This window comes from Homo sapiens, chromosome 7 (assembly GCF_000001405.40).
Source record: "Homo sapiens chromosome 7, GRCh38.p14 Primary Assembly".
NCBI classification, from domain to species: Eukaryota; Metazoa; Chordata; class Mammalia; order Primates; family Hominidae; genus Homo; species Homo sapiens.
In genome coordinates, this window is record NC_000007.14 from 33344040 (window position 1) to 33369793 (window position 25754).

The 25754-nt window shown below is 35.0% G+C and overlaps 1 protein-coding gene across 19 annotated transcripts in view, besides 2 other annotated features; it reads left to right on the top strand.

Moving 5' to 3' along the window:
* Window positions 1–25754, top strand: part of BBS9 (Bardet-Biedl syndrome 9) — a 506483-nt gene that overhangs the window by 214755 nt on the left and 265974 nt on the right. For 11 of the 19 annotated variants that reach the window (NR_145411.1, NM_001348036.1, NM_001362679.1 and 8 more), the window contains 6 exons: window positions 542–595; window positions 5029–5131; window positions 7180–7284; window positions 8820–8834; window positions 13816–13956; window positions 23728–23823. Coding sequence is in view for 16 of the 19 variants with exons in the window: in NM_001348036.1 (NP_001334965.1) it covers window positions 542–595; window positions 5029–5131; window positions 7180–7284; window positions 8820–8834; window positions 13816–13956; window positions 23728–23823 (514 nt within the window). In the remaining 3 variants the exon portion in view is untranslated. Of the gene's footprint in view, window positions 1–541; window positions 596–2187; window positions 2332–5028; window positions 5132–6987; window positions 7285–8819; window positions 8835–13815; window positions 13957–23727; window positions 23824–25754 lie in introns of all 19 variants that reach the window. The other 8 variants (NM_001348039.3, NM_001033604.2, NM_001348044.3 and 5 more) reach the window with 5 other exon arrangements.
* Window positions 7376–7877: an enhancer, noted in NCBI's record as "NANOG-H3K27ac hESC enhancer chr7:33391027-33391528 (GRCh37/hg19 assembly coordinates)". NCBI's record gives its function as "activates a minimal SCP1, AML or CMV promoter by ChIP-STARR-seq in naive and primed H9 embryonic stem cells {active_cell/tissue: H9 hESC(naive and primed)}" and the evidence as "EXISTENCE:reporter gene assay evidence [ECO:0000049][PMID:30033119]".
* Window positions 7878–8377: an enhancer, noted in NCBI's record as "NANOG-H3K27ac hESC enhancer chr7:33391529-33392028 (GRCh37/hg19 assembly coordinates)". NCBI's record gives its function as "activates a minimal SCP1, AML or CMV promoter by ChIP-STARR-seq in primed H9 embryonic stem cells {active_cell/tissue: H9 hESC(primed)}" and the evidence as "EXISTENCE:reporter gene assay evidence [ECO:0000049][PMID:30033119]".

Consider the following 25754-nt stretch of genomic DNA (forward strand, 5'->3'; position numbering starts at 1 on the left):
TAAAATATGTGACCTTTTCTTTCCTTTTTAGGGGATGAGTTTTTTTTTTTTTTTTTTTTTTTTTGAGGCAGAGTCTCTGTCGCCCAGGCTGGAGTGCAGTGGCGTGATCTCGGCTCACTGCAAGCTCCGCCTCCCGGGTTCATGCCATTCTCCTGCCTCAGCCTCCCGAGTAGCTGGGACTACAGGCGCCCGCCACCGGGCCCGGCTAATTTTTTGTATTTTTAGTAGAGACGGGGTTTCACGGTGGTCTCGATCTCCTGACCTCATAATCCACCCACCTCGGCCTCCCAAAGTGCTGGGATTACAGGCGTGAGCCACCGTGCCCGGCCCAGGGGATGAGTTTTTAAATATTAGCTTATGACTTTCTGGACGAAGGCATCAAAAAAGCCAGATTGTCTCTTTTAGTCTGTCATTAGAGTAATAAATCTTTTATAGTTTCCTATTTTGATAGTAGGAAATATACATTGCACTCATTGTGTTCACTCACTGCTGTGTAATATTGACATCATTCTTTCTTGCCTTCTCAATTCTGTGTTTACAGCAAGCGACCGATGTTGAGGTGGGAACTGACCTTGTCCCTTCTGTCACGGTGAAGGTATTGTACCAGATTTTAGACTGTAATGTGCAAACAATATGATTTATTTCATTACATCTGTCACTGTTGAGAACTTGTAAGTAGCTTACAGAAATGTAAAATAAACACTTGGCATTTGTAGATTTTTCCCCAGCCTTGAGTAGTGAATAGAAAACCTTTACTGTTACTTGCAAATATAAAACTGGTAATTGCATTTATAGCAATATGTATATAATATAAATAACTATTATGAAGTACTGTTACCATTATTTAAATGTGTAGCATGATCCAGGCTTTTTTCTTTGGAAATAAAGTTAACATTTTAAATCTGCTAAAGGAATTGTGTCATCACCATTCATAATAGAACAATCAAGTAGCATCATACATAGTATACTGTGAATTGATATTGGAGAAGCACGGGGATGGTAATATCTTTCTTCTACCTATGATTATGTGGTGTTTGAAAAGAATTTCCAGCCATCTCTCTGCCTTAACTTTAAGTGGATGTATTTACAGCAAGAAAATATTGAATGAAGATGCCACAAAGTTAGAATGGTAACAAATTGATAGTCTGGAAAATAGAATATTAAGGATGTGGTTTTGGTTAAGATTTTTAGTCCTGTCATTGTAGAATTTTAGAACTAGAACTTAAATGTAGAACCTTCTTAAAGCATTTAGATTAAAATATGGTAATCAGTCAGCACATTATTAAGCTGAAAATATTTATCATGCCCAGACCTTGGAAGCAAGGGAAGGTTGTGGATTTTGGCAATTCACTTAGTCAAAACTTGGATGGGGCTTTATATTTTCTTAGATTATGGGTTGCTCTCCTTGGAGGAGCTTGACAGGGCACCAAGCTTTACCAATTGTGTTCGCTTACACTGGAACCAGCGGGTGGCCCAAATGTGGAGATCTTTGGTCGAACTTGAAGGGAGCTGAATCTTACAACAGTTTCCTAAGCTAAGTTTTTTGGATTCTTGCCACTGGAAACAAGGGTGGTCTTTCCCCAACCTCCTTTCCCCCAGTCCAATCAAAGGCTCTATCTCATTAATACTTCCGAATCTGGAAAGGCATTAGTGGCAAGAAATCAAACACTTAAGAAAAAGAAATAACTGTCGAGTTCCAGGAATGATTTGTACTTTTGTATAGGGACACCTCTTTTAAATCTATCTACTGATAACGTTCAGACACATACATGTAATAATTTAGGAGTGCACTGTTAATTGCAATAAGAGATCTTGTGCCTTAACTAGATAACATTGCTCATGCTAATTGTACCCCCAGCCAACCAGGAATTAGCACCGTAAGTAAACATACCTTTCCCTCCCATGCAGTTCTTAAGCTTTCATGTGTAGTAGCCACCTTAAAATGATGGCATGACACTACTGGAAAATTCTCCTTCTGTTCGTGGAACTTACTATATTTGAGAATACCTAAGTCACAACTGTCTTTCTCATTGCCATTATAAAAGCATGAGAAAGAATGCAACAGGCAAGGGGTGCAGAAAATTGGTGGGACTCACACAGCAGACACAATGTCTTCCTGATCCTGTCTGACAGTTTCTATACAAATTTCTACTATAAATCTCTCCTTATGACCTTTTATAACAACAGCAGCCAAGATATACAACCATGCAAGTTTCCATCATAATAAATCCTGTTAATTGAGAAAATTTTTCCATCCGTTCCAAGTGAATGAAGATGTGGCTACCTTGAGTATGTGTGCATGATGCGTGACCATCTATTCCAGGCAACTAGGCGAGTGGTTGTTCATACCTGGCCTCTGGTGTTGTATTTATATATCTAGGATAAAAATTTGGTATTATATTTCCTAAGGGTTATATTTCATAAGAGGCAGAAAATAGCATGGAAAATTCTTGTATCAATGTTTTATATTTTCTCCTTAATATTCTATAATTATTTTCCTGTTAAAATATAAGACTTGTGATCTAGCCAAGTCTTTAACTCTTTTTTGGCTCAAACACAACTATTCTTTGTTACTGTTGTTATTTTCATTACCTATCTCCTTGATTTGTATTTTGAAAGGGCCTAGCCCATTGTTGGGGTTCAATAAATATGTGCATGAGAGCTATCATGATTGTGCAACTAAACCAAATGCAAACCCTTCTTGTTACAATGTAAAATTCTGTGATTATTGTCTAAGTAGACATCGTTGTGCCAGGAAAAGCCAGACTGCTCTTTTTCAAATGGCTTATTACTACTTAAAGGAATTTTCATTTTTACTTAAAACTGAGTTCTCATAAGACTTTCCTGGTCACTATTTTCAACTCTCTACTTGGATTGATGGCTTTGCACAGGTTATTTACCTTCTCTGAACCTCTATTTTTTAAACTGTAAAATAGGGATACTTTTTCATCTGCAAAGTTATTTTGAGTCTTAACCACAGTTGGTTAAAGGCATGGGCTCAGGATTCTGGCAGATAGCAGTTAAATTGTGGTTCTGCCACTTGCAATCAAAGTGGCCTTGGGCAAATTACTTAGCATCTCTGAGCCACAGTCTTTTGTAAAATGGTTTATGATGGTACCTGTCAAACATTTTTGTAAAGAGTAAATTAAATAATGGCACGTAAATAATTTGTTAGCATGGTTCCATGAATATAGAAAATTGCTAATATTTTTTATCATTAATATTATTCATTTTATTTAAAAATATATGTACAGACTAGTATTATATTATTATAATAGTAGAATATTTAAATTGTGTCTTGTTTGTTTAATGGACTAGCTAGTTGAAAGAAAGTTGTTTGTAGCACTTGCATGGTGTCTTCCTGCCATAATAACCATCAGGGTTTTACTAAAAAGGTATTATGTTTACAATGGCCAGACATCATTGAGGAAGTTTAGTTTGTGGCATGATGATTCCCTGTGTATTCCCAGGATTTACAAAGTAAAAATTGAGGATTCATTGTTCATGGTGTTTATCATATTTAATTGCATCGATAGTTGTCTTAAAAATTTTCCTTTGCAAGTCAAAATTTTTATGTTTTTAACTTATTTTTAAGTTGTGCAGAATACTCACATCACTTAAAATTAATACATTTACTGAATCTAATTATGTGTTCATAATGTTTGTGGGCCACTTGTATATTCTTGTATATATAAAAATATTATATATATTTAATCAAGAAAGAGGTAATACATGCTTTTTATTGAAAAGAAACTTCAAAACTACTTTTCTTAACAATAAGAATGGTCCTTGAATTATGTTAATGTATGTATCTGTCTCATATAACAAAGTCTAATAACTAGACTGAACTGCCGTATAGAAAAGGTACCATATAGAATGGTGGTTTATTTTATTTAATTTTTTTTCTCATGACATACGAGTCACCATGATAGAACATTTTAAAATAGCTTTACTTAGATATAATTTAGATACTATATTATTCACTTAGTTAAAGTTACAATCCGATGACTTTTAGTATAGTGTATTTACAGAATTTTGCAACTATCACCACAATTTAATTTTAGAACATTTTATCCCACCTAAAAGAAATGCCATACCCATTAGCTGCCATTCCCCATCTCTCTCATCCCTAAGCAACTCCTAATCTACTTTATTTCTCTATAGATTGCCTATTCTATACATTTCATATAAATGGATCATACAATATGTGGTTCTTTGTGGCTAGATTTTTTCACTTAGCATCATGTTTTCAAGGTTCACCCATGTTGTGGCATGTAAATGAAATAATGCACATAAATTTGTTAGCATGGTTCCATGGATATAGAAAATTGCTAATGGTTTTTATCATTAATGTTATTCATAATGTATTTCATTTCTTTTATTGCTGAACAATATTTCATTGTATGAATATGTCACATTTTGTTTATTCATTCATCATGATGGGAATTTGGATTATTTCTGCTTTTTGGCTATTAGCATATTGTTGCTGTGAACATTTGTGTATAAGATTTTGGGTGGACCTATGTTTTCGTTTCTCTTGGTATAGAATTGTGAAGTTATATGTTAAATTTATGTTTAACCTTTGAAGAAACTGCCAAACTTTTCTTAGAGTAGCTGTACCAATTTACATTTTCACTGGCAATATATGAGGGTTCTAGTTTCTCCACATCATTGCTAACACATGTTATTGTCTGTCCTTTCGATTATAGCCATTTTATTGGGTACGTAGTAGTATCTCATTGTGGTTTTTAGTTTGTATCTCCTTCATAACTAAGGATATTGAGCATCTTTGCATGTACATATTGCCAATCTTTATTCTTTTGAGTAAAGTCTGTTTAGCTTTTGTGCACAGTTTCTACTTGATAGAATATTTTAATCTATTACTTACTGTATTATGTTTTGTGACTACTCATTTTTTCCTCAGGTAATATTTTCTAATTATTTGCTAGTTATGTTTAAGTAGTTACGATAGTCTATCAGTTTGAATAAAATGTAATTTTCTATTGATAACAATTTCTGTTTCCTTAGGTCACACTGCAGAACAGAGTGATATTGCAAAAAGCCAAATTATCAGTCTACGTGCAACCACCATTAGAATTGACTTGTGATCAGTTCACCTTTGAATTTATGAGTAAGTTTTTTGTTTTGGCTGAAAGTCTACCATGGTGTGAATTTTTTAAAAATACTAGTTTGTTCATTTAATGGCTATTATTTCATGTCTGAATGGTGAGATTGGGATCGTCCCAAAATCAATGATTGTGTTGTTTTGCTTATATTTTCCCTCTTAGCATCAGCATGAACGTTCAATCAATGATTGTTGGGTCAAATTAATCTTTTACGATTACAGATTTCTAGGTGCTTTTCTGAACTTGTTGGACCTATAATTGTTTTTGATTTATTTATTTATTTTTGAGACAGGGTCTCATTCTCATTGGCCCAGACTGGAGTGCAGTGGCACCATCATGGCTCACTGCAGCTTCGACTTCCTGGGCTCAAGTGATCCTCCCACCTCAGCCTCCTGAGTAGCTGGGACTACAGGAAAACACCACCTGACTAATTTTTTGTATTTTTAGTAGAGACGGGGTTTCGCCATGTTATCCAGGCTGGTCTTGAACTCCTGGGCTCAAGCAATTTGCCTATCTCGGCCTCCCAGAGTACTAAGATTACAAGCGTGAGCCACCACTCCTGGCCTGTTTTTAGATACTAAAATTTAGAAGGCTTTCTTTATTGGTGTTTCTTTAGTGATCTATTTATTGAATCGGTAATGTTTGAAGAATTAATATGGACTTTGGAGTTTGGCCTGAGTTTGAATCCAGCTCTAACACTCACTTGATGTGTAACCTTAGGCAAAAACTACATTAGTAATCACTTGGAGCCTCATTTATTTTAATCTGCAAAAAGGGGGTAATGATATTTGTTTTACAAGGTTGTTTTGAGGATTTGATTAAAAAGTAAATCTATAAAAGATATCCATAATAATGCTTAAAATAGTAGACATGTCATTAATGGCAACTCTTAGTAAGGTTTCTTTGTATAGAATCTCTTACTCCCAACCATTTATATCCAAATTGTCATTAGTCCTGTTAAGATAATCTGAACTACCTTTCAAGTCTTTTTTCTTTTTTTAGTTTACTATAGCTTTTCTGCTAAGGCTTCTATCTCTTATTCACGAAGTCAAGAACATATCTTTCTTTTTTTGCCTCCACATAACCAACCCATAGCTGAGTGCCTGCCGTTAGTAGGAATTCAACAAATCTTTGCAGAATGAATGAATAAACGATTGAGTGAAGTAACCTCATAGGTGATACCCAGCCATTGAACTTTTGCTTGCATTTCTGATTTTGTATAACACTTCCAATTTGTCTTTCTAAAATACATTCTAAATAATTTATTTTTTCCATTTATTATGGCTCTCTAATACAGGTTGGGGGCCAGATATGTTAACATAGATGAGCACGCACAATCTGTTAAGTGGCTACTGTGTAACACTCCTCATCCATTTTCTCCTTCAGTCTATGTTCTACCCATGATAAATTGCTATTTTCCTCCCAAATTCTCTTGCCCTTTTGTGTACCGTTTTCTCTGTTCATGCTGTCTGTTCCTCGAAGTAAAGAACAGCAGTGGTGTAGAATGCCAGTTTCTTTGTACCTTGTTCTGGAGTTAATTCCTAGTAGCTGTGTTACCTTAGGCAAGCTTCTTTTTTTGTTTTTGTTTCTGTTTTTGAGACAGAGTCTCACTCTGTTGCCTGGACTGGAGTGCAGTGGAGCAATCTCGGTTCACTGCAAACTCCACCTTCCAGGTGTCACCACGCCCAGCTAATTTTTTTGTATTTTTAGTAAAGATGTGGTTTTCTCATGTTGGCTAGGCTGGTCTTGAACTTCTGGCCTCACGTGATCCGCCCACCTAGGCCTCCCAAAGTGTTGGGATTACAGGCGTGAGCCACTGTGCCCGGTCTTAGGCAAGCTTCTTAATCTCTCTGTATTTCAGTTTTCTCATCATAATAAATGAGGACAATAATAGTATCAACCTCACAGGTTTGTTGTGAAGATTTAAAGAGTTACTTCATGTAAGTGCTTATGACAGTACCTGGCATGTGGTGAGTGCTTATTAAATTTTAACTGTTGTTAATAACAGTTGCCCCAAATTATGTAATTTATATTATTTTTACATTGCTTATAGCACCAGATTTGACTAGAACAGTAAGCTTTTCTGTTTATCTGAAAAGAAGTTATACACCATCAGAATTGGAAGGAAATGCTGTTGTTTCTTATTCCAGACCAACAGGTAAACATACAGGCTTAATCATTACTTTAAGTTGTTGGAGTTATGAGTAAAATGCTTATGCATTTAAGATGAGAAAACATACTGTGAAATATCATTAAATGAGAAAATGTTATTTTCTACTGTTAAGTAAAATCATGTTTTCATTACTTTTATGTGTTATGAGTAGTTCGTGATAAGGCTATTTAGCTGATTTCCATATGTAATGTTTGGTTCCCTCTTTTCAGTTAATAGCAAATCTGATACATTTTTATTCCTAATAGAAGAATGTTATCTAGTCAGACTTCATTTATTTGAACCAAAGGCTAGTATTGATGCAGGATTTTTGCTCCTTAGTTCAGCCATATCTGCGTTCTTATTTCATGACCAGGAAGAATTAGGCATGCGGACACAGTGAGTGAGGAGGGTGGAATTTTTAAAGCGGGTTTCCACCTCACAAATTGAATACCAGGGCTCCCACACCTGAGCTGATGAGGCCAGGCTCCTCCCCTGCGTAAGGCACTTATTCCTTGTGGCCCCACCCCATTTCCCCAGTGCGCTCGCGGGCATGTCCAGGCAAGCCATAGGTAGTATTTGAAAAGGCAGCATTCGATTGGCTAAAAGACATTATTCAGAAAGAATCAATTGGGAAAGGGCAGGCACACAGGGACAGAAGTTCTTCTGGGTTCTGGGTTTCATCCAGGACCAGCAGTACGGTCTTTCAGCCCTCAGGCTGTTTTAAGCCTGAAGGTAAGATTTCACCTGGGACCTTTCCGTATTTGCTTAGGCGTTTGTCTGCCTCCTACCTCTATCAGTATGAATTAGTAGAAAATAATATTATGGATTACTCCAACATTAGGGCAGTAATCAGAGTTTTAGACACTGTTTTAGTGACTAAATAAAACTCTTTAGCATCTTATGTGTTAAAATACTTAAGAACAGATCTTTTAAAACTTAGTCTGCATTTTTCAACCATTTTTGGCCATTATGCTTTTCTGCAATTTGAAAGACAGAATTTAGAAGATTACTAATCATTGGTATTGGTTGAAAGTGAATTAGAAATTAACATTGAGAGAGTCTGCAGAATGCCAAGAGAAGCAAAAAGAGACGTTATCAATAGTATTATTTACTTAAATTATTATAAAAAAGAGGAACTGGATTGACTTTAAAGGGGAAAGTTAAAAGAAAATAAATTCAAAAAGTAACTGGAAATATTAATATTATGTATTTTCCCCTTTATTGAGTCTTTTTTGCTGTTTGGCTAGATCATATATCTTTACTTGTTTTTTTCCCACATTTACAGTGGAATAACACATTCTCATAGACTTCTGAGAATGGAAATATAAATAAATGTATTGTTGGGTTTCATTTATTTGTGTTATACTCTCAATTGTGGATTGACTTGTGTTTGGAGAGTCATTTAAGTCATCTGTGAGAATCTTGAAATTTTAATTTGTATTTTAAGCAGATATGTGTCAAATTTGTGTTGTAACTTTACCACAGATAATTTGTTGCCTTCTTTTCCCCCTACCCATTTTTGCATTGCCTGTGATGGACAGATCGAAATCCTGATGGTAAGTGTAAAGATAATTTAGAAAAAAATGAATTTCAGAACTGAAATTTGATGAATTGAATTGGTATTATACCATGAATGAACTCTTTTTATGGACTGCTCTTTTAACTAGAAGAAGTTCTTTAGGATGATACAGTGCCTTGATTCTGCTATGGAGAGCATAGTAGATGTTTCCACAGAGACTTGTCATTATTAGTTGTTTCGGAGTCATGAGAAAGAATGAAATTAGGAGTAAAAATAGAATGTCTTTTTTGAAAAATATTAAAGGTGTTATTGACAACTTATTACTGCAAGTCATTGGTTATTTAGCTGCATGCTCTGTTATTTTACCTAAAAGAAAGAAAGAGTTTAAAAAAAGTGTTTGTCACTGAATTCTAAGTTGTGTTTTTCTACATCCTCCAAGAGATTCACCTCTCTGTGATAAGAATGGTGTGTGTGTTCGCTCTGTGGGCATATTCCTTGTCTTGTTTAGAATTTGTAGGGGAATGTTATCAAACATCTGACTCCCTCTAACTTGCTTGGGTCAGTGTTGTTACTCACTTTGTTTTCCCCAAATCTTTTGTTTGACTCTGCTATGATTCTGATCACAATATGAACTTAATTAAGTTTGTTCCTTAGGTTCTCCTTTTAGGTTTTGAGCTTTTTGAGGGCAGGGGTCAAGCACTCATCTTTGAATTGCATACTAACAGAGTACATAGCAGGCACTACAAGTATCTCTGATTATTTTTCCCTCTTAGATATAGACTTAATGTGGTAGTTTATCTTTATAAGTTATTTTAAGATACATTTTAGATAGCAATATTAATTAGTAATAATTAAATAAATATAATGAAATGACTTAAAGATTGTGGCAATATTTACTAATGCCGTTTGGGTGATGCCAACAATCTGAGTTGCATAGCACATGTCATCTTGATATCTGGAAGTTATATATATATTTATATGAGAAGTGTTTTAATAGAAGTAAACGATTAGCTTAATAACACAAAGTATACTTGTCAAATTAGAATTTGGGTCATTAAAAAATAACCTGATATTAATAATGAATATTTACATTTTAATTAGCTAGATTGCCTGTAATTTTTAAGATTTTGGACCAAATTTTGTAAAATATCATGTTATTATTTAAATGATTAGTTTTAAGTTTAAAAAAATCAGTTAAGGTTATTGTTCAAAGAAATTTATTCCTTCTTACTGTAAATTCAGCCCAAACTATGAGGAAAAAACCCACAATTTATAGAAATGGTAGTGTTTCAATACAAAGTGAAAGCTGGTTTTAATAATCTCTTTGATATATTTTAAAATTATAATTAAGCTTTAGGGAGTGGAGTTGAAATATTCAGCGGCACCTAGTAGGCAAGAAAATAATATGTTGCCACTTAGATCTTACTTACACACAAGGCTTCATATTTCAAAGACTGATCCATTTTATTGTCTTGATCTGTTCGGGCTGCAATGCAGATAAGCAGTTCTGCTTTTATATGTGGAAAAAGAGAGGCAAACGAGGTTTTATGTTGTCCCATAAGGGTTAGTCTCCATTATTTCTGCATTAAAGTTACATGGCGTGAGCAGTGTAAAACATGAATGCAGATGAAGCACAGTACGTAGCCAGACATAACAGGAAGGAATCAAGGAAGTTCTGGCTACCAGACATTGCTACTGCTTTGGGGTTCCTTGTTTTCAATATGAAATTACTCTAGCAGGCCCCTGGAAAGAGTTCTAAAGGCATTATATAGATGTATAATATATAGGTATGGTTATTTTATTCATATATACTTATTTTTTTTCTATGTTCTTTTTTCCTTTATTTCTTTAAAGCACATTTTGGCTTCCAATTTGACAGTGATACTGGGCTTTTGGGGTGTGCCAGATGTAATTAGAAGTCTCTTCCTGGAAGTAAAATGTTCTGTTAGAGGTAGTTTTGATGAGAATATTCTCTCTGAGTGTTAAATAATTTTGTGATTAATTGCACCATAGTAGTTACGACTATCCATTTCCTCTAGTAGGTTAGGAAGGGAAATGTTTGAAGGAGAGGTGATTATATCTGGTAAAAAGAACTACAGAACAGTCAGTGTGATAAATGACTAGGCCAATATTGGAGTAAAATAAATGACAAAAGTTTCTTTTCTCTCAGCGTAACACTTAGAGAATTCAGTAAGCCAGATATGGAGACTACTTTGCCAACTATAGAGAGAAAATACTGCTGATGGTAGGCAAAGTTAGGACCAATTAGTCTCTTTCAACTAAGTTGAAAGCTGTTCTGCTAGCAACTGTGAAAAGTCTTTAAATACATGTAATTCTTTTCCTTCTCTATTACAAACACATACACCCACACATGCCTCTATGAGTCTTTGGCTTCAGGTTCTTAGACATAATTACAGCCTGAAGAGTAATTGGTAGCCAAATTTACACTTCAGGTTTCCTAAGAAGGTGTAAATCCCAGTAGAAATGTGCCTCTGATGAACCTCATGTCTAAAAACTAGAGATTGTATTGTAAAATCCTTGGATTTTAATTTGATAGTGTTATAAAATAGTGACATTCTAATTTTTCTTTTAAGGGATGGTTTCTGTAGACTGGTTTTTTTAAAGGATTTCATAACTTTTTCTCCCTAATGGTAAAACTTTTCAAGCTGCCATCATTTAAAAAATAGCCATAATCATTTTATTAAGTATGAGTGTCATCATTTTTCAAAGTAATGTTTTCCAAATGTCCTATGAAACAGGCTTATAATTCCTGCAGAGAAAAGATATTCTGGAGGGGCTCTACAAATCTTAGCAACTGCAAACCATTGCCCTAGTGTGTGATATTGTCATTAACTGACCTAACTGAACTGTAAATTGAGTTACAATGTATTTTCCTTCTTGGGTTTATTAGTGCTTGCAATCCATTTGTTTCGATTTCTGAAAACATATACACTACCAGTTTCTTTAGCTCTGGGTTCGTGGAGATGTAGGGTAATAATCTTCAAATATATAGGCTCAGTCACTTATAGGCAGTGTTGTTGATTATATTTAATTTTTTTTAACTGTGAATTCAGTCAGTACCTGGTCCAAGTAAAGTAGTGGCTACAGTTTTAGCAGTATAGTTTTGGAGGAACATTCACAGCCAAATTCTGGTTTGAGTAATTAGCTCAGAATTTGGTTGAAAGTGTATAGAAGATAGTTTCTTTTTGTGCCTGTACAGAATTGTCAGAAAAGGAAGCATTTGTTTTTGTTGTACTAGTCATTAAAAATGAAGAAGATGGAAACAAGTTTAAGTTTCCTTGTTCTTTCCAGACTGTATCTATTAATTGATACAATCTGAAATTTTCTCTACAGTTTACTTATTGTAGAGGAAACATACTCAGTGGGTGTATTTCCATAATTTGAGGATATATAGAGTATATGGAAATTTCCTTGAAGTTGGAGAAAGTAGTGCTTTGTAATTGTTTTGTGGTGATATTGACAGTCGTGCTTTGTGCAGTATCTTAGATCATGTTACCATAATATTTTGAGTCAAAACATCTCATCATTGTAAAGTACAAATACACATGCCTCTAAAAACCTCACAGAATGTCATGAAATAATACCCTGGGACTTTTCTTAAGAGACACCAGTTGTAATTCGCATCTAGGATTCCAGGAGAAGTGAATTTAACATCTGTTGGTTATGAGCAAAAAATGAGCTACGTAAAACTTGATGGATAATAGATTATATTGAAGAGAATGACAAATATGCTCCACATGCTCTGAAAAAGTATTTAATTGACCTCATATATCAATATGCTTGCCATTGTTGATGATTTCTCACTATCCTAGTGAATAAGTAGTACTGGAAAGTGTACTCCCAGCTTGGATGTGGAGTAAGACATACAATTCCAATTGACTTTAGCAAAATATATTGCTAATTCCAGGGATCCTGCTTTGGGATCATGTCTCCAAACTAACTGCTTCTGCTTTTGCTATTTTTAAGCAGCTCCCTGACTCCTCTATAAAGAAATAAAGGAATTAATGTGTGGATTCATCAAGTAGAGTTAGAACATTTTGAGTGTTCAGTTTTTCTACAGCACTATGGCACGGCATAGGCTTCTATATATTATCTTTCATCTTAACCAGTCAAAAACAGAGTTCTAGAAAAAAGGAGAGAAAACTAGGATTTTAGTATTGCTTTTCTAGATTTATAAGTAGAGAGCCTAATTTGCTTTGGTTTCAATTTCATTTTCTGTAAAAATATTGAAAATGATTTTGAAAAGCTTTATACAAATTCTAATATGAAACTCTTCATTGTCGTATATTCAGCTACCTATTTCAGTATGCATGTATGAGTATTAAAATCATTTAACAATTGAATGACTGTCTAAATGTCTAAAATGTCACTTAAAGTGATATGTAAAGTTAAATGGCTTGAGAAAAGTATAATTCATATAAAGGTAATATTCTACATATTAATGTGTAAAATGAACATGGACTTCAATAGAACTTCAGAAGAGCAAATCTTGCTTTCATGTTCATAATCTGAATCTTCATCAAGTAAAAAAAGCTAAAGATTTAAAATGTTTTTGAGTAGAGAAATTTTTAGATATGGTAATATACAGTCTTAAAGATATGATAGAAACTTCATATTCTTTGCTCATGTTTGCTGATAGTCTTGGATTAGGGCTAGAGCTCTGAAGGTCTTAAAGACTTAGTTCAGTAATTGAATGTAAGTGACTATAATGTTTTATATAGTATCCAAATGTGATGATTTTAAAAATATGATACTATTAAAGACAGATCTCATGTCTATGCTTCTTTTAAAATTTTATTTTTGCCTTGTACCTTTTGAAAATAGTAATGAAATATGAATCATGATAATAATTTACAGTTATTTCAGCTTTGTTAAGCAAAATAGGCAGGCAACAAGCAAACCAAGATATATTGCTGCTCAAACTATTAGTAGTACAATTTTTTTTTGCCAAATTATTTGTCAAGTCTATGAATCTACATATCTCTCTTTTATTTTAGGCATTCCGCGAGTTATCCAATGTAAATTTAGACTTCCCCTAAAGTTAATTTGCCTACCAGGTCAGCCTTCAAAAACTGCAAGCCACAAAATTACTATTGATACCAACAAATCTCCAGTCAGTCTTCTTAGTCTCTTCCCAGGTAAGACTGTTGAAATAACATGCCTGCAGCATCAAAAATGCTAAGAATTTAGAATGGAATCCTTCATCAGCAGATAATGATGGGGTAATTATCAGATAATTGTTAAGTAAGAGTATAAAAATGCCTCAAGGATTTTTCCCTCCTTTGCCTGTTCAAAGGTGAATAGCTTATATCAACAAGGTAATAAGGTATTCCTTTTAAGTTTGATTAAAATTATCATAATAATTATTTTGCTATGGTATTCAGAAATAAAAATCAAGTGTTTCTCTTTAGACTGAATTTTTTTGGCTTGGAATGTAAATATTTATTATTCATCTTTATGGTAGGTTTTTGGATATATCTGTCTTCTAAGTGTATAAATATTTATTATTTTCATTGTAGGCTTTTGTATGTGTACCTTTTAAAGTATATTCTTATGTCTCTGAAAAGTAATCTTATAAGTAGATGCTCTTTGTACTGTTTTATTCTGCTGTCTACAGCAGCTAGAGGGTGTGCATCCTGTGCTTCTGGTTGTTTAGAAGGGTTTCATATTTAATGCTTCAATATCACAGTGAACATTTGGGGTAATTTGTGATGGTATGACTTGGAGAGAAGTGTCAGTTTTTCTTTCTGAGTGGCTTAGAAACTAAAGAAGCTTTTTTGGATCAAACATCCTTAGTAACCAAGGTTTTTAGTGTGTCATGTCATTAATTTTCTTGATGGTGGGGTAGAATTGAAGAATAAAATCTTGGAATTAAATCAACCCTTTTAAATCCTTCATTAAAAATCAGCACTGTTGGCTAGGAGATGCATCTTCACCTTTGCATTAGTGGATAAGATTTAGGATACAAACAATACTTCTCACAAGGTTTAGAAATTTATGGTAAGTCAACTTTTGTGTTATTAACTACTTAAAGTGCTTAAAATTTATTTTTTATTAATTTGCAGTATTTCAAAAATTTTATTTATATATAACTCTGAAAAATCTCCAAGATTAAATATTTTACTACAATTATTCTATTCTTAAGTGTGAATTGAGTTTGGAGATATATATGTATATATTGTTAGCAAAATATTTTTTACCTTTTGGGTTCTTTCTCCCATCTCTTCTTTTACCTCCTTATTTTTTAGTCAGTTTTCTTGTAACAAACTTGGATTATGAAAAAAACAGACTCACTACCTTTTGTAACATCTTGTATAAACTTATTAGTTTCTTGGGTCTCCTATACTACCTTAGGAACATAGTTGGAAATTATATGTTGAACACCAAATTTATTGGTGGCTTTGAAAAACGTTTAAACACCTGACTTCTGAGGAAGGGTTGATCTTTACTGTAGATAAATGCAACCCAATTAGAATTGAATAAAAACACATGCCTTTGAGCAGAAAGGTAAAGTCCATAAGATACGAATTGTATAGTGTGTACTAAAGAAAGCTTAGATGACTTATCCATTTTCCTCCTGATTTTGGGCTCAATTGTTTTGATGTCATTATGCTCATCAGCATATATTTGCTTCTTACTCACTTTAGGAATGGGACACAATGACAAATTTTTAAAAATTTCTTCTGGGATCCAATATATATGATATAGAGTGGTTTTTAAAAAATTCCTGGATTTGTATTAATGTTAAACATGCTGGATGGAATCATGTGCTTGTTTAAAATAAGTATCACTTCACTCTGATAAAAGTAAGACTTAGATAAAGTTGCCATTGCAAATCTTCTGTGTCTGTTTTTTTTAACTGAAAGAAGCAAAATTAATGAGCTTTATAGAGAAGAAATAAAACAACTTTTACTCTACATGTCTTCCCATTTGTTTATTCCAGTTCTCTTTCTGTGAACAAATATAGGTATATTTAAAATAGCTTTAATTTTTCTTATTACAAAAGAAATGTGAAATTTAGAAAATGTGGATAACCAAAAGGAAAAAAGTGAATGTTACTAGTAATTCTACTATCCAGCAATACCTTTTTCTGTTTCATTACATTTTTCTAATCTTTAAATAAATATTTTTTCTAAGCATTTATCCCCAAAAAGAATTTCACTTGTCATTCTGTTTTGAGACATCTTTTTACACCATTAGATATTTTTGATATATGATTTTAATGATTACATAGTATTCTCTCATAAATCCATACTATAAAATCATTTGACCAGCATTATACTTTTAGATATTTACGTTGTTTTTAGTTTATTAATATTGTAAATATACCTGTGATGAACACTGTTGTAACAATACTTCTTCAAATTTATTATAGTTTATTTGATGAATATTTAAAAGTGGAATTGCTGGGTGAGACAGAGAATCAGAATGTTTTTAAAACTTCTGAAATATAGTGTGAAATTGACTTCCTTAAGGAATACCAGTTAACCCTAACAACAATGTTTGAATAAAGGCGTCCAGTACCCCAAACCTTGCCAATAGAGAATCTTATAAGAAAAACCTTTTAATATGCTTAATAATTATATAGAAAACATTTATTTACATATATAAATAGCTATCTGGGGTGCTTCTGGCACCCCAGAAAAGTGAATTAAGCAATAAATACCTTTTTTTTTTTTTTGAGACAGGGTCTCATTCTGTCACTGAGGTTGGAGTGCGGTGGCACAATCATGGCTTACTGCAGCCTCTACTTCCTGGGCTCAAGCAATCCTCCCACCTTAGCCTCTAGAGTAGCTGAGACTACAGGCATATACCACCATGCCTAGCTAATTAAAAAAAAATTATTTTGTAGAGATAGGGTCCCACTGTGTTGCCCAGGCTGGTTTTGAACTCCTAGGCTCAAGTGGTCTTCCCATCTTGGGCTCCTAAAATGTTGGAATTACAGGTGTGAGCTACTGTGCCTGGCCAAGACATTTCTTTATCTCATATAAAGAGGAATCCAGAAGTGGGCAGTGGAAGCTGTGGCAGTAGTTTATGACTGTTATGAAATACCTAGCATTTTTTCTTTTTTTGTAATCTACCATCTTTAGTGTGTTGACTTGTTCCACGACAATAAGATATTTGCTTCAGCTTCAGGCATCATATCTTACTACAAGGTAGGAGGTAGGGGGAAGAAATAGCTATATAGTAATGATGATAACTTTTATCAGAAAAGGATTTTTTCACAAGATTCCCTAGGAAATTTCTGCTTAGGTTTCAATAGCCATAATTTTTGTCACATGGCTTCCTTTAGCAGTACAAGAGGCTGAAAACTAAATGGGCTAGAGAAAAGGGGGTTGGGAACATGTGTTAAATTACCTGACCATCAATGTATGTCACAATACCAGTAGTTTTATACAAAAATTTTACTTAAATGTAATAACAGATAAAATGTCATTTGATAATAGTCTTTTATGTTGCTCAAGTATGTTTCTACATTTGCTTGTCAATACATTTATATTTTAATAGTTACATAATATTCCATTGTTTGGAGGTGTCATGTACATACAGATTTTTTGTACTTCTCTATTTCTCTTAGGAGAAATTCTTTGGAGACAAATGCTTGAGTTAATGGGTATGCATATTTGAAAACTTTATTCAAATACCAGCTGCCTTTTTGAAAAATTGTATCACGTTATACTCCCAGCATCAAGGTTCATGCGCATGATAGCAGCTGGATTCATTAAATCTTTTAAAATTTTTGATATTATTAGGTAAAAAATGACATTTCATTTTTAACTTGAATTTCCAATATGTTTAATTTTTCTTAACTACTTGCATTTCTTCTTTTAATTCCTTCTTTTAAGGTTTATATTTTTAGGTAGTAAAATTTCTTAATTACTTTCTTCGTAGTTTCAGGTTTTCATGTTATGCCTGCAATGATCTCTATTCTAAGATTATAAAATACTTACTTATTTTTTCTGGTACATTTTTATACACTTTTGTTCTCAAACACAGCTTCAGTGCATATTTTTGTGCTTTTAAAAAAGCTTAAATTGAAGTATGACTTTTGTACCATAAATCACACATTTGAAGCGTATAATTTTGAAAAGTTTGATTTCTGTATTTATCTGTGCAACCATCTCAACGGTTAAGTTGCTGAACATATCCATCACTGCCAAAAGTTTCCTTTTGTCTATTAGTAATTCCTTATCCTGCATCCCAAGCAACCACTGATCTGCTTTCTGTTACTAGAGATTAATTTGCATTTTCTAGAATTTTATAAAATGGAACTATATAGTATATGTTCTTTTTCATTTGTCTTCTTTTGCTCCTTTATTTGATATGTGATTTGCAAATAATTTCTCCCAGCCTGTGATATGTATTTTGATTGTCTTAACAGAATCTTTGGAAAAGCAGAAGTTCTTAATCTTCATAAACCCCCCCGTTTATCAATTTCTTAATGGTTCATAAATTTACTGTTACATCTAAGAGATATTTCCTAATCCAAGGTTGCAAAGTTTCTCTCTCTTTTTTTTTGATAGAAGTTTTCTAGTTTTAAACTTTACATTTAAGTCTCTTCCCCATTTTGTGCTGATATTTATGTGTGATGTGAGGGATGGATGAAATTCATGTTTTTGCATCTGGGTGTCTAATTGTTACAGCACTATTTTTCAGACTATCCTTTTCCACTGAATTGCCTTTTCAACTTTGTTGAAAATCATCTGACCACATTTATGTGGGTGTATTTCTGCTTTCTTAATTTTGTTCCATTGATATTTTTGTCTATTGCTATATACCAATAACATTGTGTTTTGATGACTGTATATTTATAATAAGTCTTGAAGTCAGGTAGTATAATTTCTCCAACTTTATTCTTCTCAATTTTGTTTTGGATATTTTAGGTCCTTTGCATTTTCATATGAATCTTAGAATCATCTTGTAAATTAAATAAAACTGGCTGTTGGGATTTTGATTGGGATTGTGATTGTATTGATTCCATATATCAATTTGGAGAGAACCAATATCTTAACAATATTGAACATGGTATAATTTTCTCTCTGTATTCTAGTTTTTTTAAGATGAAAATGCAGACCATCGTTCATTTATTTAGGGTCTATTTTGTTTCTCTCTGTGAGGGTTGGTAGTTTTTCATGTACAGGTTTTACAGATCTTTTGTCAGATATATCCCTATTTCATATATTTTTATGCTATTGTGTTTTATTTCAATTTCAGATTGTTCTTTGCTAATACATAGAAATACAATTTATTTTATTTTCTTTTGATATGGAGTCTCACTCTGTTGTCTAGGCTGGAGTGCAGTGGTACAATCTCGTCTCACTGCACCCTTCGCCTCCCAGGTTCAAGCAATTCTCCTGTCTCAGCCTCCCAAGTAGTTGGGACTACAGGCACACGCCACCATGCCTGGCTAATTTTTGTATTTTTAGTAGAGATGGAGTTTCACCATATTGGTCAGGGTGGTCTCGAACTCCTGACCTCAGGTGATCCACCTGTCTTGGCCTCCCCGAGTGCTGGGATTACAGGCGTGAGCCACCCCACTTGGCTTACAATTGATTTTCTTATATCAATCTTGTATCATGCAACATTGTTAAACCACTTGTGGGCTCTATTAGCATTTTTGTAGATTTAATCAGTCAGATTTTCTACATAGATGATCATGTTACATGCAAATCAAAACAGTTTTACTTCTTCCATTCCAACTGGATTGTTTGTTTTTGCTTGCTTTTTGCCTTGGCTAGAACCTCTGGGATAATGTTGAATAGAAATGGTGAGAACAGACATTGTCTTTCACCATTAAGTATGTTTTAGCTATAAGTATTTTTTAGATTTTTTTTTTTTTTTTAACCAGGTTGAGGAAGTTCCCTTCTATTCCTAGGTCGCTGAGACTGTAATCAGGAATGGATATTGGATTTTTTCAAGACTACTTCTACATCAGCTGAGACATTCTTATCGTTTTCTTCTTTATTTGATTAAATATGGTGGATTACATTGATTAATTTTTAATGTTAGCCCAACCGTGCATTCTTGAGATAAATTATAGATGGTCATGATATATTATCTTTTCACTATATTTTTATTTTTTTTTTTATTTTTTATTTTTTTTTTTTTGAGACGGAGTCTCGCTCTGTCGCCCAGGCTGGAGTGCAGTGGCGCGATCTCGGCTCACTGCAAGCTCCGCCTCCCGGGTTCACGCCATTCTCCTGCCTCAGCCTCCCGAGTAGCTGGGACTACAGGCGCCCGCTACCACGCCCGGCTAATTTTTTGTATTTTTAGTAGAGACGGGGTTTCACCGTGTTAGCCAGGATGGTCTCGATCTCCTGACCTCGTGATCCGCCCGCCTCGGCCTCCCAAAGTGCTGGGATTACAGGCGTGAGCCACCGCGCCCGGCCTTCACTATATTTTTAGATTTAATTTGCCAAACTGTATTTTAGAATTTTTGTATCTATGTTCATGAGAGAAATTGATTTGTAATTTAGTTTTTTTCTACAGTTATGTGAATAATTTTTACTCCATCCCCCCACATTTTATGTTTTGATGTCATGAGTTTCTTATATCTGGATATTTATACTTCTCTCCAGATTTGGAAGGTTTTCTCTTATTGTTTTGCTTGATTCTGTTCCCTAAATCTTGCAGCCTTTCTTCTTTCCTTTCATTTTTTTCCTCCTCTCACTGTATTTTCTAATAATCTGACTTTGAGTTCACAGATTCTTTCTTCTGCTTAATCAGTTCTATTTTTGATGTTCTTCCTTATATTTTCCCCCTTCCCCCTCCTCTCCCCTCCCCTTCCCCCTCCTCTCCACTCCCCTTCCCCCTCCCATCCTTTCCCCCCTCCCCCTCCGCCCTTTTCTCCCATCCTGTCCTCCTCCCCCTCCTCTCACCTCCCCTCCTCTCTCAGGGTCTTGCTCTGTCATCCAGGCTGGAGTGCAGTGGCATGATCATGGCCCACTGCAGCCTTGACATCCTGGGCTCAAGCAATCCTCCGACCTCAGCCTCCCAAGTAGCTGGGACTACAGGTGCATGCCATCACACCTGGCTAATTTTCTTATTTTTTGTAGAGACAAGGTTTCACTTTGTTACCCAGGCTGATCTCGAACTGCTGAGCTCAAATGATGTGCCTGCCTCGGCCTCCCAGAGTGCTAGACTTACTGCGCCCAGCTGTTTTCATTTCATTCATTGTATTTTTTCAGCTCCAAAACTTGTTATTCTTCTGGGTTTTGTTTCTCTTTTTTTTTCTTTTTTCTTTTTTTTCCTGGTTTGTTGAGCTTCCTGAAAACAATTATTTTGAATTCTTTGTTAACCTGTAGATGTCCATTTCTTTGGGGTCAGCTACTGGGAAATCATTGTGTTCTTTTGGTAGGGATATGTCTTCTTTGTTTTTCGTGTTTCTTGTTGCCATACTTTGATGCCGGCACATTTGGTGGATCAGTCTCCTTTTTCCAACTTCGTGTGCTGATTTTGGTACGAAAGACCTTCTTCTATGGGAAGGTCAAGGGTGCTGGCAGTATGAGATGTAGAGGTTCTGGCCCTGGCAAGGGCATAGCAATGTAAACTGTTTGCAGCTCTCTTAGCTGTGGTTGGTGTTGGTTAAGATTGCTGGTATCCTCAGTTGCCAACTCTGTGAGTGTTCTCAGCAATAGTGAGGGCTATTGGGATCTTTAATGGCAGTGGATGCTAGGGTACTCCCAATCTCTTTTTCTCCCACCAGGGAAATCATGGCCAAGGGGATCCCTCTTGGCACTCTATCTGGCTTGTGGGCCAGTTTCCAGTGCCTGATGAGTGGTACCTATGGAGATGCCATGGAGCCAAGTCCTGAAGCATGGGTATGTGTAAAGGGACTTTGGTTCTGGGCTTTGGGTGGTAATGGCACCAGTGCCTGGGGCACAGGAACCCCCACTGCTGTGTTGGTGATGGTATGTGAGGCATTAGTGTTTATGAAACAGCCGGGGAGCCCGAGATGGGAGCATGGATGTGTGCAGTTACTCTGGCTCTGGGTTACAGGATGGGACCTTGTCCTCTATGGCAGGTGATGTAATGACTGAACCATAGGAATACGCAGAGAGACCTTAGCTGTAGGACCTCGGGTGTGAGCTGGCTCACTCTGGTGGTAGCTCTGGTATCTGAGACATGGATGGGCATAGTGCAGCCACAGAGCCAGTGTCTGAAGTATGCACATTCATGAAGTGACTGTGACCTGGGGGTTAGGGGAATGTGCAAGGTTTGGAGAGGTGGTGGTTTTGGTTCTGGGGTGGTACAACAGCAGCTACTTCTTGAGCAAGGGAATATGGAGCCATGCCTTCCTCTCTGGGGTTCCCTGGTGGAAATGGCTATTGGTTACCTCAGTGGCAAAAGATGCTGGTGTCTTCTGTGAAGCAGGCTGCTGGGAACCATGGAAGTTCCCACTCCACGGCTGTCACCAATAGGCTGTTGCCTTTATTCTTTGTCACTAGCCATCTGTAGGCATCTTAGGTATGCCGATATAACCAGCCATTTGTTCCGTTTTGCTGCAGCTTCTTACATGGGCCCTTGAGCTCCCACAGGGCTATTATGGTGTTTGAATAGCTGTCTTTCTCTCTCTCTAATTTTTTTGCTGGGGATGAAGACTAGTGTCCCCTACTTTACCATCTTGGTGACATCCTTTACCCCCGTGATGATGTTTAATGTTTCTTTTTTTTTTTCTTTTCTTTCTTTTTTTTTTTTTTTTTTTGAGATGGAGTCTCACTCTGTTGCCCAGGCTGGAGTGCAGTGGCACGATCTCGGCTCCCTGCAGCCTCCACCTCCTGGGTTCAAGCGATTCTCCTGCCTCAGCCTCCTGGGTAGCTGGGACTACAGGCGCATGCCACCACACCCGGCTAATATTTTGTATTTTTAGTAGAGATGGGGTTTCACTGTGTTAGCCAGGATGGTCTCGATCTCCTTACCTCATGATCTGCCCACCTCGGCCTCCCAAAGTGCTGGGATTACAGTCATGAGCCACCACGCCTGGCCTAATATTTCTTTTCTCTGTCACTTTGTCTGTAAATTGGTAAGTTGGATCTACAGCTAGCAGAGTCAAGATTGACTATTCTGGCCGGAGTTCTTCATGGATGGTAGTATAGACTTTCAGCAAACAGAGGGCACATAATATTTGTTTGTCTTTTTTTGTGTGTGATGGTAACAGCCATTGATATCCAATGCTGAGATCCATTAGTTCACTACAGGCTGAAAAATAGATATTTTGTTTCTTTCACACTTTCTTCATTTTTTAGCTGGATTATTTCTACAGAGAGAACCTTTCCTTTAGTAGTTGTTATATGGTGCAGTTTGAGTAGGGTTTTCAGGATAAATGCTTGGTTCTTTCCCTTTATTACTAATTTTTAAAATATTTTAAATAAATAGAGCTTAAAATAAATAGTATTGATTCTCTAGGATCATCCAATAGTGACCATTTGTTTTTATTTTGTTTTTAAGTCTCTGTATGAACTCATGCCTTTAAACATATTTGATGTGTTTTACTCCATTGCAATTATTATTTTCTTTGATACTCTAATATTTTTATCTCTGGCCAGTAGTAGTCTCTTTAAGCTGGCTTTCAAGTTGTTTTCATAAAACCCTACTGGCTCGGTAATAGCTTCCTTGCTATCTGGCATGAAAAGATATTCTAAGTTCATCTTGCACGTGTTCTGTCTCATATGTGGAATCAACCATTAGAATAAATGAAATTAAATGACTCCAGAGTTTTAGTGTAAGGCAGAAATTTCATTAATTGGAAGCTACTATGGAAATCAAGGTGAATATATTATAGCTCACACATGGAGTTTATACATGACTAGTGACATAAAAAACACGCATCATTCAACTAAGGTTCCTATTTCAAATGTGTTCATTTTGCCTTCTGGTTACATAAGGTGATTTCTCTCTTTTCTTTGTAGGTTTTGCCAGTCAGTCAGATGATGATCAGGTGAATGTAATGGGTTTTCACTTCTTAGGAGGTGCTCGAATTACTGTTCTTGCTTCCAAAACTTCTCGTAAGTAAAACCATGTTATCATTGCTTTTTAAATTTTTTTCTAAGGATACCACATCACAGAGGATACTCACATCAATAATTCCTGCAAAGGGTGATGTTCATTTAGATTTCAGTAACTAAAAGCCATGATATTAAGTAGATAGGATGTGAAAGTTATGAAGTGAGGATTGTGTTTTATTAGAGAACACTGATGTTGCCCAAGATTACCTTACCATGATCTAAATTTCACCAAAAATCAGATATGTAACTGATATATTCACTTTATCAGAGTGTATGTAATTTTTGTCTTGGAGCTAAGAAGAGTCTAAGAGAGGAATTTAAAGAAATGAAAAATATTTTTGAGGTAGGTATATGGTGAACTAGATTTGGGAACTCCTAGAACTTGGAATTTTTTTGTTTGCATATATTCTTGTTTATTCATTTTGGACATTGGCAAAGATGACAGTGAAAGTGGATAGCTTTTGCTGAGTGTAATTTCAGTAGGCAGAAAGGTGTAGTAACTATATAGTCAAGTTTGAATTTAAATATGCTTTATTGATTTGGTTGCTTTATGTATGCGAGAATAATAGTCGAAACTAGTCAATGTAAAACTAGCTCTTGACATATGTAGTATACTGAAGCTACTGAGCTTACTGAGTTATACACACCTTCATGGGAATAAAGTAAGATATTAAGAAAGGAAGTATTTAACGAATCTGTATTGAGAGAAAAAAGTACACACACACACACACACACACACACACACACACACACACCCATACCCCCTTGAAATAGTCTGGCTCAGGACATTCCAATTAAAAAAAAAACTCTAGTTTTTCTGGTGAGCTTTCACTTTCTACCCATGCATTTGCAGTTGTAGTTGGTTATTGCTTTTCTAATAATAAGAGTACAATAAGGCCATCTGTTTTTGAAAAAGAAAAGTATTAGCAGGAGGAACAGACATCCCATTTAGAAACTGTAACAATGTTTTTATGGCTAAAATCATAATAGTTTCTGGAATATGTCAATTGGTGACTGGTAAAATAGACTCAGATACTATTGAAGACTCAATAATAGGTCACAGAAATAACAACTCTGAGAAGAAAGAGGAGATTCTTTATTTTCATGATTTTTCTGATTGGTCATGATTGCAGTATTCTTTACATTGGCATCATTTTTTAAAAAACAAATCATTTTATTTTGATAAGAAGACTTAACATGAGATCTATCCACTTAAAATTTCAAATGTATAGTTCAATATTGCTAACTGTAAGTACATAGCACCATTTTGCTTTGATTAGCTTTAATCTCCAGTTGGATGGTAGAACCATTTTGGTGCATTTCTCTTAGTTTAACAGTTATCCTTGGTTAAACTAAAAAAGTTATGCCAACATTTCTTTGGGAAATTGTACACATTTGTTTGACTGCAGTTGATGGTGCCATATAATGAATCTGCAAATGAGACCATTAAAAAAGGCAAAAATTTTTGCAAATGAATATATTTATATCCTAATGTATTTTATTTATAACTTTTAATATAAAGTAACAAGTAGAACCCTGATGTTGCCCACGATTACCTTACTGCTATCTAAATTTTACCAAAAATCAATTATATATCTGATTTATTCTCTTTGTCTGAATGTATGGCAATTCCCTGACTTAGCATAGTGTAGGTACACAAAATCAAATAATGGAATAGGACAGGACCTTTTAAACAAGGAGCCAAATAAACTGTGTAAATTGAAACCTGAATAATAGTCATTACAATTCTATGATGGTTTTTGGCTACAGTGACACACAGAATCCTACCTAGGAGATGCCTATGGTGATGGAGAGAGATAGGTATAAGGAGAGTGTACTTTTCTGAGATTGAGGCAGATGTTGGTGCTCCTACTGCTTTATCAGAGTATTCATTCCTAAGAAAGGAATGAAGTAATTTGTACCCAATCTGT